A 17629-nucleotide genomic window follows, 5' to 3' on the forward strand; every position below is an offset into this window, starting at 1 on the left:
ATGTCACTGCTGTTTTCACCATTTTAATTTACCAAAAACTGACTGCGTCCAAGGGAAGGAGCTGCTAGCTAGGAATCACACGAGGACAGAACTAACATTTCTTTTAACTTAAAATTACATTTAAAAGTTGGATAAATTGATGTACACAGGCCACCATGTAGTCTGCCCTTGTATTTGTATGTCTACACTTTCCCCTAGATCAGCTCCAGCTCTGGCCGTGTGTTTAGGCATTGCTGTCTGTCTACCTTCCTTCCTCTGGTGGACCCAGAAAAAGAATTCAGCTACTGCTGCTAGTCTGTAACTTCAAAATGACACATAAATCATCTTAATCATCTTCACAGGGTTTTATACCACAGAACAATGCAGGACATGCCTGGATAAATGTCTTATTTACACGTGACAGTGACTGGCTTGGTGGGTCACGGTGACAAGGATCAGGCAGGCAGGCCGTTCTCCTCACTGCTGAATTTGCTTCTCACAAAAGAGGGTGGAGGAGAACAGTCAGTCAGCAGCAGAAATGTTGAATACGTTTTATTTATTTAAATCCTAATGCCTTCATTAATTGCATCTCAGAGTACTAAGGAAAGGGAAAGCAAAATCTACTGTCCTAGAAAAGAAGAATTAGACAAGTTCAGCGACATTTGATTATTTGGAAAGGATTCTTTATGGAAATTATTTCTTAATAAACTAAGCTTTCATGCTGAAGTCACGACTAAGATTTGCAAACATTTATACAAAGCTCATTTGTTACAGAAAGTACACACACACACACACACACGCATATATACAATATGCAATTATTAGCCAGAAATTGTTGTTGTTGTTGTTTGAGACAGAGTCTCCTTCTGTCGCCCAGGTTGGAGTGGAGTGGCGCGATCTCAGCTCACGGTAGCCTCTGCCTCCCAAGTGATTCTCCCGCCTCAGCCTCCTGAGTAGCTGGCACTACAGGCATGCACCACTATGCCCGGCTAATGTTTGCATTTTTAGTAGAGATGGGGTTTTGCCATGTTGACCAGGCTGGTCTCGAACTCCTGATCTCAGGTGATCCATCCACTTCCACCTCCTAAAGTGCTGGGATTACAGGTGTGAGCCACAGCTCCCAGCCTAACCAGAAGTTTTATAACCAAGAGATTCAAAATTCACGCTGCCTAGTACCACGTGATTCTTGACTTATTTTCTAGCTCTTTGATGCATTCATTTTCAGGCTAACGTAGGGAAGGAGTGTGACTGTTAGTTCATCTTCGGGTATTGTGTGATGAAGTAGTGCTCGAGCATCAGCAATGAGATGCCCATGGAGCTTGCAAACACTTCCCTTAGCCAATGTCAGCATTATTAGTTCTCCTTCCAGAAGGACTTTCAATCCAAGAAGTCAATCCACTTTTATTTCCTCACGCTTTCCTCACCCACTGGTAACGTGTCAACATCCTCTGAAATCGCCTGAGGGTGAGGAGCTCCAGGTAGAAAAGAAGAAAAGAGTATGATCACTTTAAATATAACTAAATGATAATATTCAGGTATTTTCCTCTATAAACTCAATACAATACAGCTATCGAATCCACTGTAGCTATAAGAATACAGGTATTTTTTGGATTTGAGGTAGATATCCTGAAGAGGTTTTTTTCTTCTGTGTCCCTAGACCTTTGTTCTTTCTAAAACTGTGCTGAGATGAAGGCCTCCCGCCTGTGGTCCTGAGGATGGTGTTGCTAAGCAGCAACAAGGTCCTCTTGCACTGTTTCCAGAGCCAGTCACTCCAGCCTGCCTCAGTGCACACCTGGGCACCAGGCAGGTGTCTGGAAGTGACTCATTCTCTAAAGAACATTTGCCTCTAGAATTTTTTTAGAAATTCAGTTTAAATCAGGACATATAAAATCAGCCTTAATAACCGTGAAGTTATAAATATAGTTTTGTGAAATACAGAGATTGACAGCTTGGATAATCAGGAAAGAGCGAGAATTAAATATAGAGAAGAGGAAGGTAACTAATGTTAGCTGAACAAGTCATTTCAACTGTAATTTTAAGATAATAGCTTTTGAAATATGGTCCTTGTGGAAAACTGGAAGCAAGAATTTATGTGACTCTAAGGCAGAAGCTCAATGTTTAAGAGAACAGAAATATGCTTTTAATTAGTGTGATGACTAAAAACACAAAATGCTTTAGTGGGTCTTTTCTTATTTGATTACAAGTCTTTGTTGAAGCTGTCATATGTAACTTTCAGTAATTTCATGTAATAATTTTAAGCCACAAATTAAAAATCTGCCATATCAATGAAGAACATGTTGATTAAATGGTTTATATGAAAAGCAAGGAGGAAAACAACTTGAAAATATTAAAAGCATTTAGCCTTGTGATGATTGCCAAAATGACTAATTAACAATACTGATATTTTTCCTTCTGTCCATTTCACAAATATAAATATTAGAAAGCATATTAATTAAATTAAAAGGCACCAAACAGAAATTGATTTTTTTAACTTGTGAAAATGTCTAGGCAAAGACTATGTACATCAGTCTTTTTATTCCTATTTTCAGAATGAAGATTCATTACTATTATGAGTTGAATTATCTCCCTCGTAAAAAGATAAGGTGAAATCCTAACCCTGGGAACCTCAGACTGTCACTTTATGTGGAAATAGCATCCTGACAGAGAAAGTCAAATTAAAATGATGAGGGAGGAACCCAATCCTGTATAACTGGCACCCCCTATAAAAAGGGACATTTGCACACAGACAAACGCAGGAGGAAGATGATGTGAAGACACAGACAGAAAGTCAAGTGAGGCTGGATTGATGTGGCCACAAGCCAGGAGTCCCTGGTCGACCAAGAGCTGGAAGAGGCAGGAAGGACCCTTTATCTCCAAGTCTCAGAGGGAGCATGGCTCTGCTGACACCTTGATTTTGAACTTCCAGCCTCGGAACTGTGAGACTATATATTTCTATTTTAAGCCACCCAGTTTATGGAAATTTTTATGGCAGCCCTAAAAAACTAATACAATCGTACTTCTGATAATATAAAAATGCATCCTCAGGATAAAAATAATCTCATTATAAAAATACACATAAGTACAAAAAATAAAGAAGAGATTAAAAATCTTCAAAAATCCATCCAGCCTTTAAATAAAAGACTCTTTTGGTGATCATTCTTTTATTTCATCTGTTTATGAATATATGCCATCATGCAGTACACAATTTTAACCTGTGCATTTCAAAATGATATTGATTATGAAGATGAATTAGAAGTATTTGTATTCCTCTTACATAGTAAAACATAGCACTTGTGATATATAGAGGCTGACTTGTTAAGTTATATTTTGAAGTTCCGATGTGTGCATGCGTGTTTTCTCAAACATCCTGTAGCATGACTAGATTCCAGGGACATCAAAAGAGATTACCTTTGCTGTTTACCAGTCAATTTCTGAAAATGTTCTTCTATTAGAATACCAGGCATTTATTATAAAATTATTATCTCTGTGAGAAAAAAACCTACTTGAAGGTAAAACACTTTAAACTTGCCAAAGTTTGATTGATTAATGTAATAGGATTATTGAAATAATAATCCTGTATTAAGCAAATTTTTCATAAGAAAGAAGGAAGGGTTTGTCATCTGAAAATAGCTTAAGAGATCATGATGAAGGGCAGGTGGACAGAACTGTGCATTAGAGATGAAATATTCCCACTCAGAACTTTGCACATCCTGACAGGCATTATTTGAAATACTTTCATTAGTTTACAGTTTATTTTCCATTTTCTATGGGCAATACATTGTCATATTTAATCATCATCTTGACTACATGTGTAATTATCATTTCTCATTGAGTGAGACAATATTTATTCAGCGTGAGGATTTTCCTTACTCGCTACTTCTTTTTTGACTTTTTAACAGAGCTTTAATTTTTTAATATGTGTGTATATATAATTATATTTTTAAAACACAGCAGCACGATTTCTGCCCTGAATGCACGTAAATTTGAAATACTGACCACAAGCAGCTTCCTTTACCGTGCACTTCCTGGTAACTTCAACTTGCCGTGATCTCAGGGAAGGAACTGTGTGTACCAGCTATTTCTGTGCACACCTGTACATGTTTATCTGCTGTAATATAGTTCATACATGCTCCTGAAACGTTAGTTTCATTGCATTTTTTATGCATTAAAATCAACGAATCAATGAAATCTTGGGTTGGATAAAGAGGAGGGAAAGGACAATATCTGGCAGGTAGGAAATGCGATCAAACCTCACAAAGGCATGAAGTAAGCAAGCAGGAGAATTCTTTCACAGCTTCCACTTAAGGATTAATGTTTAAGAAATTTGTCTTTCTAGTGGAGCTGGATTATTCATCACTATTTCTCTCAGGTTGATGTTTATCTTCAAATTTGTTCTAGAAGTAGAAGTGGTTTTGTATTTAGAGAGACAGGCGCTGAGACCTTCCTGCCATCTTCAATCGATGGATACTTGCTGAGCAGCTGTTCTGAGACATTGTTCTGGGGGCTGGGGATAAATAGCAGAAGACAGCCAGAGCCTCTCTGCCCTGGCGTCTGATAGCAAAGGGCAGTAAGTGTTTGTGACAATTTCAGGTGTTAAAAATTCTACTGGTAGAAAAGAGACCCGAAAAGGATTGGTTAGAGAAAGGGTCAACCAACAAGCTCAGGGCAGAGTAGGTAGAGACCTGTCCCCTTCTGTTAGCCAAATCCAGACCCTTTTTCACTAGATCACAATATTTTCTGGTCAAAAGGAGGGATGGGAAGAGACATTATTTTTACTCTTGGCTTCAAATCTTCCTCATAATGTTTGTTACATATAAACCTTATTTCTTATTTGTTTTTCTATTTTTGTTCTAATATTAACATACTTTTTGACAACTATTTTTCCATTGCGACTAGGGACATGTGTCCCTAGATTTAGATTTCTGTCATTTTATGTGTGAGTTTATGTTTTGCATCAGTTTTAGAAAGTTTTCAATTGTTATCGTCTCAAATATTTCCTTTTCTTTATTTTTTTCTTATTTTATTCTGGGACTTAAATTACGTGCATGTTGGACCATTTATAATTACTTTGCCTCAGTTCTCAGGTGATTTGTTCTATTATATTTTTCAGTATTTTTTTCCTGAGATATTTTAATCAGATTGCCTTCTAAATCATTAACCATTTCTTAGGCCATGTTCAGTCTGCAATCAAGTGCTTCTTGTATTTTTTTTAATTTCTGATGTTATTTTTTATATTTCTGACATTTCCATTTTTGCATACTGTTCACGATGCTGCTGAAATTTTCCATTGCCACACACATTCACCTCCCCTGGCAAACCCCTTGGAATTTTGCTCATGTTTTCTTAAGGTTCCACTCTGCTAAATATATCAATATATTGTTTAGGGGACTGTTCCTATTAATTGTTTCATTTTATGACTGTGGGTCTATTTTCTTGAGTTTGTTTGTATGAATACGTGCGTTTTGCAATTTTTTTATTGTCAAACCTTCATTAATAGAATACAATAAACATACGAAAATATGTACCTACCAATCCCCCTTCTTCTAATTCCCAGAAAGCAAAAGTACTTCTCAGAAATTTCTCACAAAATACACACATATGCAATCCACACACAGTTTGAGAAATGAATAACCTTCCCACCCCCGATTTTTTCCCTTAACCTAGTCACCGCCCCTCCTCCCAGCCGTCCCCTCCCAGGTAGCCCCATCCTGACATTTATGATGATCCCTTTACTGCTTTTCTTTACATTTTTAACACTTAAATCTGACTCTCTAGAATAGCATCTTGCTTGCTTTTTATTTTAACTTTATGTAAATAGAATTATACAGTTTATATTATTTTATGCTGGTTTCCTTGCATAATATTATATTTGCAAGGTTCATCCATATTGTGGTTTATATTTGTACCAAATCTGGACAAACACGTTACCGTATCTTTTATGATTATAGATGCACTTGTCCTAAAGACAATTTTAGAAAATTGAATCTAATAGTAAACAACAAGAACAATGTGTCATATCTAAGTGGGGTTTATCCTAAGCATGTGAGTCAATTTTTGAAAAGCAATGTGAAAATTACTTCCCAGTTTTTGAATGTGTAACAGTATAGGCTCTTTTCAGGTCAGCCCTTAGGGTGATGGTTGAGCCGATCAGATTTGAGCCGGGTGTGGAGCTGATTAGTTATAATTTGATTCAGGTTATCACAGGATTCCAGTCGAGTTGGAGGTCAGCACTCTCCTTCCACTGAGGTCCGGGGTCCCAGCACACGTGGGAATCCTGAGGTCGCTTGTCCTCCCAAGCCGAGCCACCTGCTTTGGATCCATGCAGGATCTGTCCTTGCTGGAGGGTCTATGGCCTGCTCTGGGGGCAGCTGAAAACCCTTTGATCTCAGTTCCTGGCTTCTACTTTCTGAGTCCAGGGCCGTTTTCTTCGCCGGCAGTGCTGGGCTCTCAGGCCTCCTAAGGGGCATCCCGCAGGGCCTTGGTAGCTGCTTTAGATGGTTTCTCTCCTGTGGACCTACTCAACTCCTCTAGTCTTCAGTAATTGAAAGCCTGGGATGCATTCGACTTTTAAAATCTCAAGTTTCCTCCCCTGACCCCACAGTTTTCAGGAGAAAACCCAGGTCAACAGATGCTGCCTTACCCTCCCTCTGAAGGGTGGGGGGCCCCTCAGATCAACTCATCTCCACCTTCTGCCCCGGTACTTGCCCACCGTCAGACAGCTCTTCCCTGGAACTCGCAAGAGCCCTTGTAGATCTCAGGGAGCCGTCGCTTCCAGCTGTTTTTATCCACCCCCTCCCTCAATCCCCTTTGACACATGACACTTGGGCACTCAGTGAGACCCATGGACAGGTGGGCAGGGGAGAAGGCTGTTTCCATTGCTGGAGCTCGACCAACGTCAGCTCTGACATACAACTCCCCCAGGCCACTGAACACCCAGGAGAAGTTCATCTGACTCCTCCTTACCGAAGCTGTGTCAGATCCATCTCACTTCTGCAGTTGACCCGACTCGTGGAAGGTCGCTTCTGATTTTCTGTTCAGTTTATTTACACTTTTGTGTCTTGAGTTTTCTTAGGGTTAAAAAAAAACTATGGTTTTTGTAGTTTTTCTGACTCATTTTATTTTATGGTGAGAGTGATGGTCTCCTCTAACTTCAATATCTGAATCAGAAGCAGAATTCCCCCAACTTCCTTATTACACAGTTGAGAAAACTGACAGTTACAGAGTTAAGCGACCATGCAGCGAAATTACATATGGACCAATAAAAATCAAACCAAAAGTAGGGTATTTTTGTCTCCAAAGTTGTATTTGACTGAATTGACTAAAGTCATTAAATAGACAGTAAATTAAAGACATGGAGAAGATATTAGCTTTAGGATAATTGGTAGAATATGTCATCATGAAATTTAACATTGTGAACTAGCGAAATCTGATGTTGTCCTTCATGATTAGGTTGTTTTTGTAGGTGGTTACTAATAGCTGAGAATTGCAGGAGGGAAGTGAGAGCTGTAGGCATTTTCTCCCACGCATCTCTTGAGTAGATGGTGTGTTACTGTGACAACAGGTGTCAGATGACAGGAAGGAATTTTTATTAGCAGGCAAGCAACCAAAGCGATCCCAAACAGCCTGCTCTGTGAACTCAGTATCCCAAACAGCCTGCTCCGTGAACTCAGTGAAGTTCCACGCCATTTTCCTTCCTGGTGTTCCATTCCACAGTGGCCGAAATCTCATCTGAATCAGCTGTGACAATACTCCAGCAGAAACATCAGGCTACTGAATCATTAAACGCACATCTAAACACAGGGAAGTTAAGAATTCTAAATCGAGAGGCTGACTCTAAAACAGCATTCAGCTACATGTGACTGCTGAGCACTTCAATGTGCCTGGTGGACAGTGAGATGGACGCTAAGTGTAAAATACAAAATCCAAAGGTTTCAAAGGCAGCATGAAAAAGTGAAATATTGTATTAATAACGTTTATATTGATTACATGTGGAAAGGATATTTTGAATGCATCAAATTAAATATATTATTAAATTTAATTTCACCTGCATCCCTTTGTTTTTACTATCACTACTAGAAAAAGTAAAATTACATAAGTGCCTCACATAATATTTTCATCATGAAGCATTTGTCTAAACTAATTCATATCTGTTTCATTAGAAATTATTATATGCAGGCCAGGTGTGGTGGCTCATGCCTGTAATCGCAGCACTTTGGGAGGCCGAGGTGGGCAGATCACCTGAGGTTGGGAGTTCGACCCTAGTCTGTCCAACATGGTGAAACCCCGTCTCTACTAAAAATACAAAAATTAGCTGGGCATGGTGGTGGGTGCCTGTAATCTCAGCTACTTGGTAGGCTGAGGCAGGAGAATTGCTTGAACCTGTGAGGCAGAGGTTGCAGTGAGCCGAGATCACGCCACTGCACTCCAGCCTGGGCAACAAGAGCAAGACTCTGTCTCAAAAAAAAAAAAATAATAATAATAAGATTATATGCAAATTAATCTAAGATTGGAAAGAGACACGATGGGTGTCCTGTTCCCAATAATTTGGCTATATTGTTAGAGAAGATGGACGCTGACCCAGCAGAGTTGGCTTTACCATCACACAAGTTGAATTTTTTTTTTTCAATCTCCTTCTGAACAATGTCTTTATGCACTCCAAGAAGTGATTCTTTTCTATGCTGATGAAGTCGGGGACTCTCTGATAGGATGGTTATTGATTGTAGCTATGTAAGCCCCAAACCGCCTCTGAGATGAGTCCAGGACTTTTCAGTCCCCAAGATGCATGTCTTCCTGCCTCGCTAACGCTCAAGTTCTGCAACTAGACAATGGAGAGATTCTTAACTCCACAACCAGCCTCCTCTCTCCAGAGCCCTTCTCTCAGGGTGACCACTCAGTGCAATTCATTTAATATTACCAATTGTGGCTATTTTCATTCCCATCTCCAGTGTTTTAAATTGACCCATCTAGTTCATGGACCACATCACCGCTGACACCAAGAACCAGAGCTGCCCAGCACCCCTAGAGCGATTCCTTGGAGGCTTGGCTCACGAGGCTCAAGCCTGGGATCCACCCCACGCCTTTTCGGATGTCCGCCCTGTTTCACCCACTGCAGCACCCACTTCTCTTTGGTGTGTTCACCTGTCAGACTGCCTTTTAATTTTTTTTAATTTTAGTTTTAATTTTTATTTTTTGGGGGGATGGAACCTTCTTCTGCTGCCCAGGCTGGAATGGGGTGGCATGATCTCAGCTCACTGTGACCTCTGCCTCCGGGGTTCAAGTGATTCACCTGTCTCAGCTTCCCAAGTAGCTGAGACTAAGCCACCTGCCACCATATCCAGCTAATTTTTGTATTTTTAGTAGAGATGGGGTTTCACCATGTTGGCGAGGCTGGTCTCGAACTCCTGACCTCAAGTGATTCACCACCTGTGCTTCCCAAAGTGCTGGGATTACAGACATGAGCCACCAAGCCCAGCCAAGACTGCCTTTTAGATTTAATCTGCTTATGCTCTGACTTTCCATAAATTCCTTAATCATGTTATAGCCAAGATTTTTAAATTGATACATACTATTTGCACATATTTATTGGTACATGTGATATTTTGATAGGTGCACAGAACGTGTTATGATCAAAGTAGGGTAGTTAGCATATCCATCACCTCAAATGTTTATCATTTCTTTGTGTTGGGAATGTTTCAAATCTTATAGTTGTTGTGAAATATACAATAGAGTAAACCTGCTGGGCTATGGAATATCAAAATGTATCCCTTCTATCAAGTCTATGTTTCTATCCATTAACCGACCTCGTCATTCCTCCTCCCCAATCTACACATCCTTTCTAGCCTCAGGTCTCTATCATTCTACTCTCTAGCTCCCTGAGATCAACGTTTTATGCTCCCACATATGAGTGAGAACATGTGATATTTGTCTTTCCGTGCCTGGTTTATTTCACTTAACCTAATGACCTCCAGTTCCATATATGTTGCTGCAAAACACATTACTTCATTGTTTGCTATGGCTGAATAGTATTTAATTGGTATATGTACCACATTTTCTTTATGCATCCATCCACTGATGGATGCTTAGGCTGATTTCATGTCTTAGCTGTTGTGAATAGTGCTGCAATTAACAAGGGAGTGCAGGTGTCCCTTTGATATCATGATTTCTTTTCCTTTGGGTAAATACCCAGTAGTGGGATTGCTGGATCATACCGTAGTTCTATCTTTAGTTTTTCAGAAACCTCCATCCTATTTTCCATAGTAGCTATACTAACTTACATTCCCATCCACAGAGGATAGTAAGGATTTCTGAATCGCGCAATGACTTTCCCGTGAGATCACTTCTTCTCCAGCCACAGCGATTAAACAAAACAGAATAAATAATAGAATATGCATGGAAGTGGTATAGCCAAATATTCCGAGTTGCAATAGAAAACACATTAGTTTTAGAAGCTTTGCCTGCACCATTGCTTAGTCTTAGTGATTGCCCATGGCTGAGAGCAGTCTTTTGCCCAGCGTTTCTACCACAAGCATGCTCTCCCTGGACTTGCAGCCTGCACACTTCATACGTGGCTGTGAGAAAGGTTAATCCATTTCAGTCATGGATAGGCTTTAAACTAATTAGTAGCCACATTCACAAGGTATTATGCAGAACCTCCTAGTCAACCAACTTTCTTCAAAGATGTCTCTGCCAGACCCCTACAGGTTTGTGTGGCTGGTTGGCCTTTTGCAATTCATTCCCTCGGGAGTCAATTAAGTTATTTTACCCTAAAAGTTTTCCTTCTTTCTAGGAGAGTTCCGTAGGTTACTAGCGCACTTGGTACTTTTAATTAGCAGTTTTACGACCTGCTTCTGCACTCTGTGTCTCTGCAGAACAGCTGTATTCAGTATGCAACAGGAGGCACAGCTTTGATTCCTTTTCTTCCCTTAAATGTGCAGTATTCCTCATAACTATTAATAGGGGATAGAAGATTAAATATTAATCATTGGTAGTCCTGATAGATTAAATATCAGAGAGATGCATAGTTAATTTTCAACACCTTGGAGTGACAAATCATTTTTTCTGACCACAGAATTTAAAGCAAGTGACTAAGTTCGAGTTTCATATGTTTAAGGATTAAACAAGTGATGAGAATAGATTATGACTTTAGTCAAGTCTAAGCTTATGTAATTTCTTCCTTTAGTAATTTATCTTTATTACCTGTCTTATGTTCATATCACAACTACAAAACTACTCAGCCAAAGAGATATTTCAGTGAAGAGAGTTAAAAAATTATTTTAACTTCTAAAGTAACTTTCAAATATGTTTAGATCAGTGATGTTTTGTTTTGCTTTGTTTTTTGGGGGGTCAGATTTTTATATTCTGCGAATGCTTTTTTCTTTTTTTGCATAACCTGTGACCCTGTTTTTCTTTTCTTTAATTAAAAAGATCATAGTAGTTAGCCTAGCTATTCAGCTTAGTAAAAATTGCATGGTGCTCAAATTTAAATAAATAAAAAGCAAATGAGCATTTGTTCTGAAAAATATTAAAGAATATGAGAAAAAACACCCTGTAATAATTTTCTCAAGAACATATAAAAGCTTGCATCGGCCGGGCGTGATGGCTCACACCTGTATTCTCAGCACTTTGGGAGGCTGAGGCAGGCGTATCACAAGGTCAGGAGTTTAAGACCAGCCTGACCAATGTGGCGAAACACCGCCTATATTAAAAATACAAAAATTAGCCGGGCATGGTGGTGTGCACCTGTAGTCCCAGCTACTTGGGAGGCTGAGGCAGGAGAACGGCTTGAACCCAGGAGGCAGAGGTTGCAGTGAGCTGAGATGGCGCCACTGCACTCCAGCCTGGGCGACACAGGGAGACTCCACCTCAAAAAAAACAAAAAAACAAACTTGCATCATAGAATAAAGAAAAAACGAAAAGATCACCATTAGAATCCTCTAATGTAATTATCTATGAGGAAAGAAGCAGAGAAGGAGAATGAAAAATCCATTCATTCAACAACAACAAAAAATACGGTCTAGACTTTGCTGTCAGTGCTGGCAATGTAGCTACTGAAAAACAACATTTTCCTTCGTTGAAATTACATTCGAGTGAGTCTCAATGCCTGAAGGCACCTGCCTGTTTTCTGCAGCGGGTACAGGGAGCTTTACGTATCTTCCTGTCCATCCATCCTGCAGCTCTCTGGGGGCAGGTCCATTGGTTTCAATGGTGAAGAAACTGTCTAAGGCGGTGTGCCTTGTTCAGCATCACACTCAAGCTCTATATCTTAGACAGTGCTACATACCAGGCTACGCTATGGGCCTTCCTCTGACATCTGGGTCCCCTTTCCCCGAGATCAGCCCCACCCACAATGGCTGCAGCCCCCAGCATCTGCCTCCAGAGCGGCGTCTTCTGTGTGACACTCAGGGATGGAGCAGGGGGAGTGTTCGCAGGGAGAGGACTTCCGGAACCGGGCCGATTACCTTCATCGGTGTTAGCAATTGTGCCGTCTGGTAAGCTCTGCATTCACTTTCCCAAGGATGGCCCTTCACTGTCCTGGAGCTGTAGAACTTGATCTGTTCACACCCTTGAATACAGAAATGAATAGGGTTTTCCAGGAAAACTTCTGGGCAGCGTAGAGGTCCTTACAGGATTCTGGAAGATGTGCTCTTTCCAAACAAAAATATCACCCAAGAAAGAGAGAGACATTGTTTCCAGGAATATTGGGTTGGACCTCATGGTGCTGTCTGGGCCACAGGCCTGAAAGTAACCATTGGCTGTTGGGACAAGAATCGGGGAGCCCAGGAGGAAGGCTGCCTCTCGGAAGATGATTTGGAAGAATGGAAATATGATAGATAAAATCGTGGAATACCCAGAATACAATGTAGATACATATAGAAAAATATGCATGTAAAATGTCATCGTTAATGCAAAAAACCCACAACTCTGCAGAAAAGAAAATGCGATTTTAAAACACCAGACTCCACACAAAGATTGTAATTTGACTAAGAGGGTGGTATAATTGTAGTGGGGGGTGGTGAGGAAGGAAACAGGCCCAAGGAAGAGTTGATCTGCCGCTGTCATTAAAAAGCAGTTCCCTATGCCCCAAATGGATAAGTCTCTGAAGGACAGTGTGAAGGTTTTGTTTAATAAATCTGAAGGTTACCACGGGAAGACTCAGGTGACAGAGTTCACAGCCATTGTGTCTAGTGTCTAATGAGCTGGAGTGTGAGAAGTAACAGAAAAACAACCGTTTTATTTCTCAAAATGATAAATAAATTTCACCACTAGTTAAGTTCTTAATATTAGATATGTACTAGTCTGATAAAAATTAAAACACAGGGTGGGTGTGGTAGCTCACACCTGTAATCCCAGCAGTTTGGGAGGCCAAGGCGGGTGGATCACCTGAGCTCAGGAGTTCGAGACCAGCCTGGCCAACATGGTGAAACCCCATCTCTACTAAAAATACAAAAATTAGCTGGGTGTAGTGGCTGGCTCCTGTAGTCCCAGCTACTCAGGAGGCTGATGCAGGAGAATTGCTTGAACCTGGGAGGTGGAGGTTGCAGTGAGTCGAGATCATGCCATTGCACTACAGCCTGGGTGATAGAGTGAGACTCTCCCCCCCTCCAAAAAAATTAAAACACAAAGAATTCATTTTATTTAAATGAACTTGCTCTTTTAAATTCATATAAAAAGTTGTGAAAAAAATCAGAAATAGAACCTGTTTTTCCAGATTCCCAAAAATCTCAGGATGAAAATTTTTTTTTTTTTTTTTTTTTTTTTTTTGCCCAGTTAAACACATATTTTTAGTGAGAGCTTGTGATCCAGCCACTGCACTGGGCACCGAGGACTCCAAGTGGAAGATGATGTCATCCACAATGGCATCTCCAGGGGAATCGATTTTGATGACTCCAATCAAGGCAGGCGGGTCAATGGCAGCGACCACTGAAGATGCTATGGCTTGAGAGGGAAGGAGAGAGGCAGCCACTGCCTGAGGTGAGCTGGGGTGATTCTGGATTAGGAGGAGGACTAAGGCACTTGGCAGGGGAACTGGATCAGAGCAGAGAGTCAGATCTGCAACTTTTTTTTTGAGACGGAGTTTCCCTCTTGTTGTTGGCCAGGCTGGAGTGCAGTGGCACGATCTTGGCTCACTGCAACCTCTGCCTCCCGGTTTCAAGTGATTCTCCTGCCTCAGACTCCCGAGTAGCTGGGATTACAGGTGTCCGCCACCATGCCTGGCTAATTTTTGTATTTTTAGTAGAGACGGGGTCTCACCATGTTGGCAAGGCTGGTCTCCAACTCCTGACCTCATGACCCTCCCGCCTCAGCCTCCCAAAGTGGTGCGATTACAGGTGTGAGCCACCGCGCCCAGTCTAGATCCGCATCGTACAAGGCTTTCTGCCTGTGGGAACTGCAAACGCATAAGGACCAGTGGCAGCTGAGCTCAAAAGCAATGGAGAAAAGGGGGCAGGTTACAAAGGCACCAAGCCTTTTTCCTATCATTCACATCCAATTCAACTATAGAGGAAATAGATGTCTATACTGGAACCAGTACACATGTATAACTGCTGTTACTGGTCATTTATTTTAATATTTCCATCTGGATTTTTCAGTTAAAGATGCACCCGATATGTTTCATTTCTTGAGGTAAAATTCATAGGGCAAAACTGGTTTGTAATATAAAGTAGTGGTTAACACTATGAGCTTCAGACTCCAGGCTAGTATAGTATTTGAGCAAGGTTTATAACCATTCTGGAATCTGATGGTCTTAACCATCAAAATAACTATTAACTGTATTTACTTAATGGTGTTGCAATATGGTTTAATTGAGATAACATATTAGAGTAATCCAAAGGAGCCCAGCAAATAAGAAATTCTCACAGAATTCATCTCGGTCCTTCTCAGATTGTGGGTTTATTGAATCCTTCCCTCTTCCTCTGTCTCCCACTGGCTAAAAGGAATAGCAAAATGGATTAGCTCACTTTTAACAGACAGATCCAGGATTTAAGATAAATATTTTAATATAAAATATATCCTTCTTTATACTGTTTTGCAATGAGTAATCCTGTAAGATTGAATACAAGATGGAAAGGTAAGCCAGAATACGTTAAATTATTCTTGGTTTTACGTAATGTTCAAAAACACTTAGCATCCAAAATGTGCAAAGTATGCTTTAAAATTCACGTTAAGAAATCACTTTTGCTAGACATTTCTTTCTATCAGACATTATTTCAGAAGTATTAGTATAAGTAGGGTAGAAATAGTCTGACAAAAATCTTTCATGACACTTACACTCATATCCTTGCTTACAAATGCATGAATACATTGCATTCTATGCTTCTTTTATACTTTATAATTTCATCCTTTTAAAAAACGTATTTTTTCTTTTATGTAATATTTGTAATAACTAAAATTTATATTTTTCATCAAATGAGGAGTCAATATATAAATGAAATGCATTCAATTACGTTAGTCACTTTAGCGAGACTCTGCCTTTAGAAGTCTTGCACACCCCGATGGATGTCACAGAAAATTCAGGAGAGGATGCTGATGCTGGGAGCTCCCAGTGGGACAGCCCTTCCTGGGTCCTTACCAGCCCACTGAGCATGTCTTTGAATGCATCTTTTGTGACAGCTCACAGCTGGGAGATATTTTGCAGGTATAGTAAAAACAATCTGCAAGCAAGGGAGGAATTCAAGACAGTGATTTTGACATTTTCTTGGTCTTCCTAAATTTTTTGTATTTATTTATTATTTATTTATTTTTTATTTTATTTTAAGTTCCGAGATACATGTGCAGAATATGCAGGCTTGTTACATAGGTACACATGTGCCATGGTGGTTTGCTGCACCTACTAACCCATCATCTGGGTTTTAAGCCCCACATGCATTAGGTATTTGTCCTAATGCTCTCCCTCCCCTTGTCCCCCACCGCCAACAGGTCCTAGTGTGTGTTGTTGCCCTCCCTGTGTCCATGTGTTCTCATTGTTCAACTCCCACTTACAAGTGAGAACAATCGGTGTTTGGTTTTGTATTCCATGTTAGTTTGCTGAGAATGATGGCTTCCAGCTTCATTCATGTCCCTGCACAGGACATAATCTCATTCTTTTTTATGGCTGCATAGTATTCCATGGTGTATATGTGCCACATTTTCTTTATCCAGTTGATTATTGATGGGCATTTGGGTTGGTTCCAAGTCTTTGCTATTGTAAATAGCGCTGCAATAAGCATACCTGTTCATGTGTCTTTATAGGAGAATGATTTATAATCCTTTGGATCTATATCCACTAATGGGATTGCTAGGTCAAATGGTATTTCTGGTTCTAGATCCTTGAGGAATCACCACACTGTCTTCCACAATGGTTGAACTAATTTACACTCCCACCAACAGCGTAAGCTTCCCTATTTCTCCACAGCCTCGCCGGCATCTATTGTTTCCTGACTTTTTAATCATAGCCATTCGGACTGGAGTGAGATGGTAACTCATTGTGGATTTGATTTGCATTTCTCTGATGATTGGTGATGATGAGCTTTTTTTCATATGTTTGTTGTCCACATAAATATATACAAAAATTACCTCAAGTTGGATTGAAAACTTAAATGTAAAACCAAAAACCATAAAAACCCTAGAAGAAAACCTAGGCAATACCATTCAGGATATAGGCATGGGCAAAGACTTTAAGACTTAAAACAGCAAAAGCAATTGCAACAAAAGCCAAAATTGACAAGTGGGATCTAATTAAACTAACGAGCTTCTACACAGCAAAAGAAATTAGCATCAGAGTGAACAGGCAACCTACAGAATGGGAGAAAATTTTCACAATCTACCTATCTACAGGAACTTAAACAAATTTACAAGAAAAAAACAAACAACCCCATCAAAAAGTGGGCAAAGGATATCAACAGATACTTCTCAAAAGTCTTCCTAATTGTTTTTTTCCTTTTTTTTTTTCTTTTTTTAGACGGAATCTCCCTCTGTCGCCCAGCTTGGAGCTCACTGCAACCTCTGCCTCCTGGGTTCAAGCAATTTTCCTGGCTCAGCCTCCAGAGTAGCTGGGATTACAGGTGCCTGCCACCATGCCCAGAAAATTTTTGTATTTTTAGTAGAGATGGGGTTTTGCCATGGTGAACAGAGTGGCCTCGAACTCCTGACCTCAGGTGATCAGCCAGTCTTGGTCTCCCAAAGTTCTGGCATTACAGGCATGAGCCATCTCGCCTGGCCTCTTCCTAATTTTTAATACTAAATATCTCATGGGGATTGAGAATAAAGCAAATATTTCCAAAGTGGCAATGCCCCTGTTGTAGAGCATAAAGGTCTTGGTGGAAATTTTGAGTCTCACAGACCTGGGTTTTCATAGAGTTTTACTCACTTTACACATTACAGACCCTTTGACAGGGCATTCTCTCCCTGCCTCTAGTACTGCCTCATCATATTGTTTCTTGGATGTTTTTAATATAACACAGCCAGTAACAGGCGCTCCATGTAATGACGCTATGCATGTGGTCTGTGAGCCGGGAGGTCAGTGTGTGTCATCCTTGGGCGCTCCACACCCCTCCCCAAACCCACGTAGATTCAGTGTGCTCAACCAGAAAGACGTAATCAGAGAGAATAGCCTGGCATTTCTTGGATTTGGTACCTATCTTTTCAGTTCAATAGAATGGAGTTAAAATAAAAA

General features: G+C 40.3%; 2 long non-coding RNA genes across 2 annotated transcripts in view; one reads left to right on the forward strand and one right to left on the reverse strand.

Moving 5' to 3' along the window:
• LINC03021 (long intergenic non-protein coding RNA 3021) overlaps window positions 1-17629 on the reverse strand; it is a 198360-nt gene that overhangs the window by 117343 nt on the left and 63388 nt on the right. The gene's annotated exons all lie outside the window — the stretch shown is intronic.
• On the forward strand, window positions 13752-17244 carry LOC107986865 (uncharacterized). The gene is made up of 2 exons (XR_001745633.2): window positions 13752-13950; window positions 16916-17244. It is a non-coding gene; the product is annotated as an uncharacterized LOC107986865 (long non-coding RNA).

This window comes from Homo sapiens, chromosome 8 (genome assembly GCF_000001405.40).
Source record: "Homo sapiens chromosome 8, GRCh38.p14 Primary Assembly".
In the NCBI taxonomy this organism is placed as follows: Eukaryota; Metazoa; Chordata; class Mammalia; order Primates; family Hominidae; genus Homo; species Homo sapiens.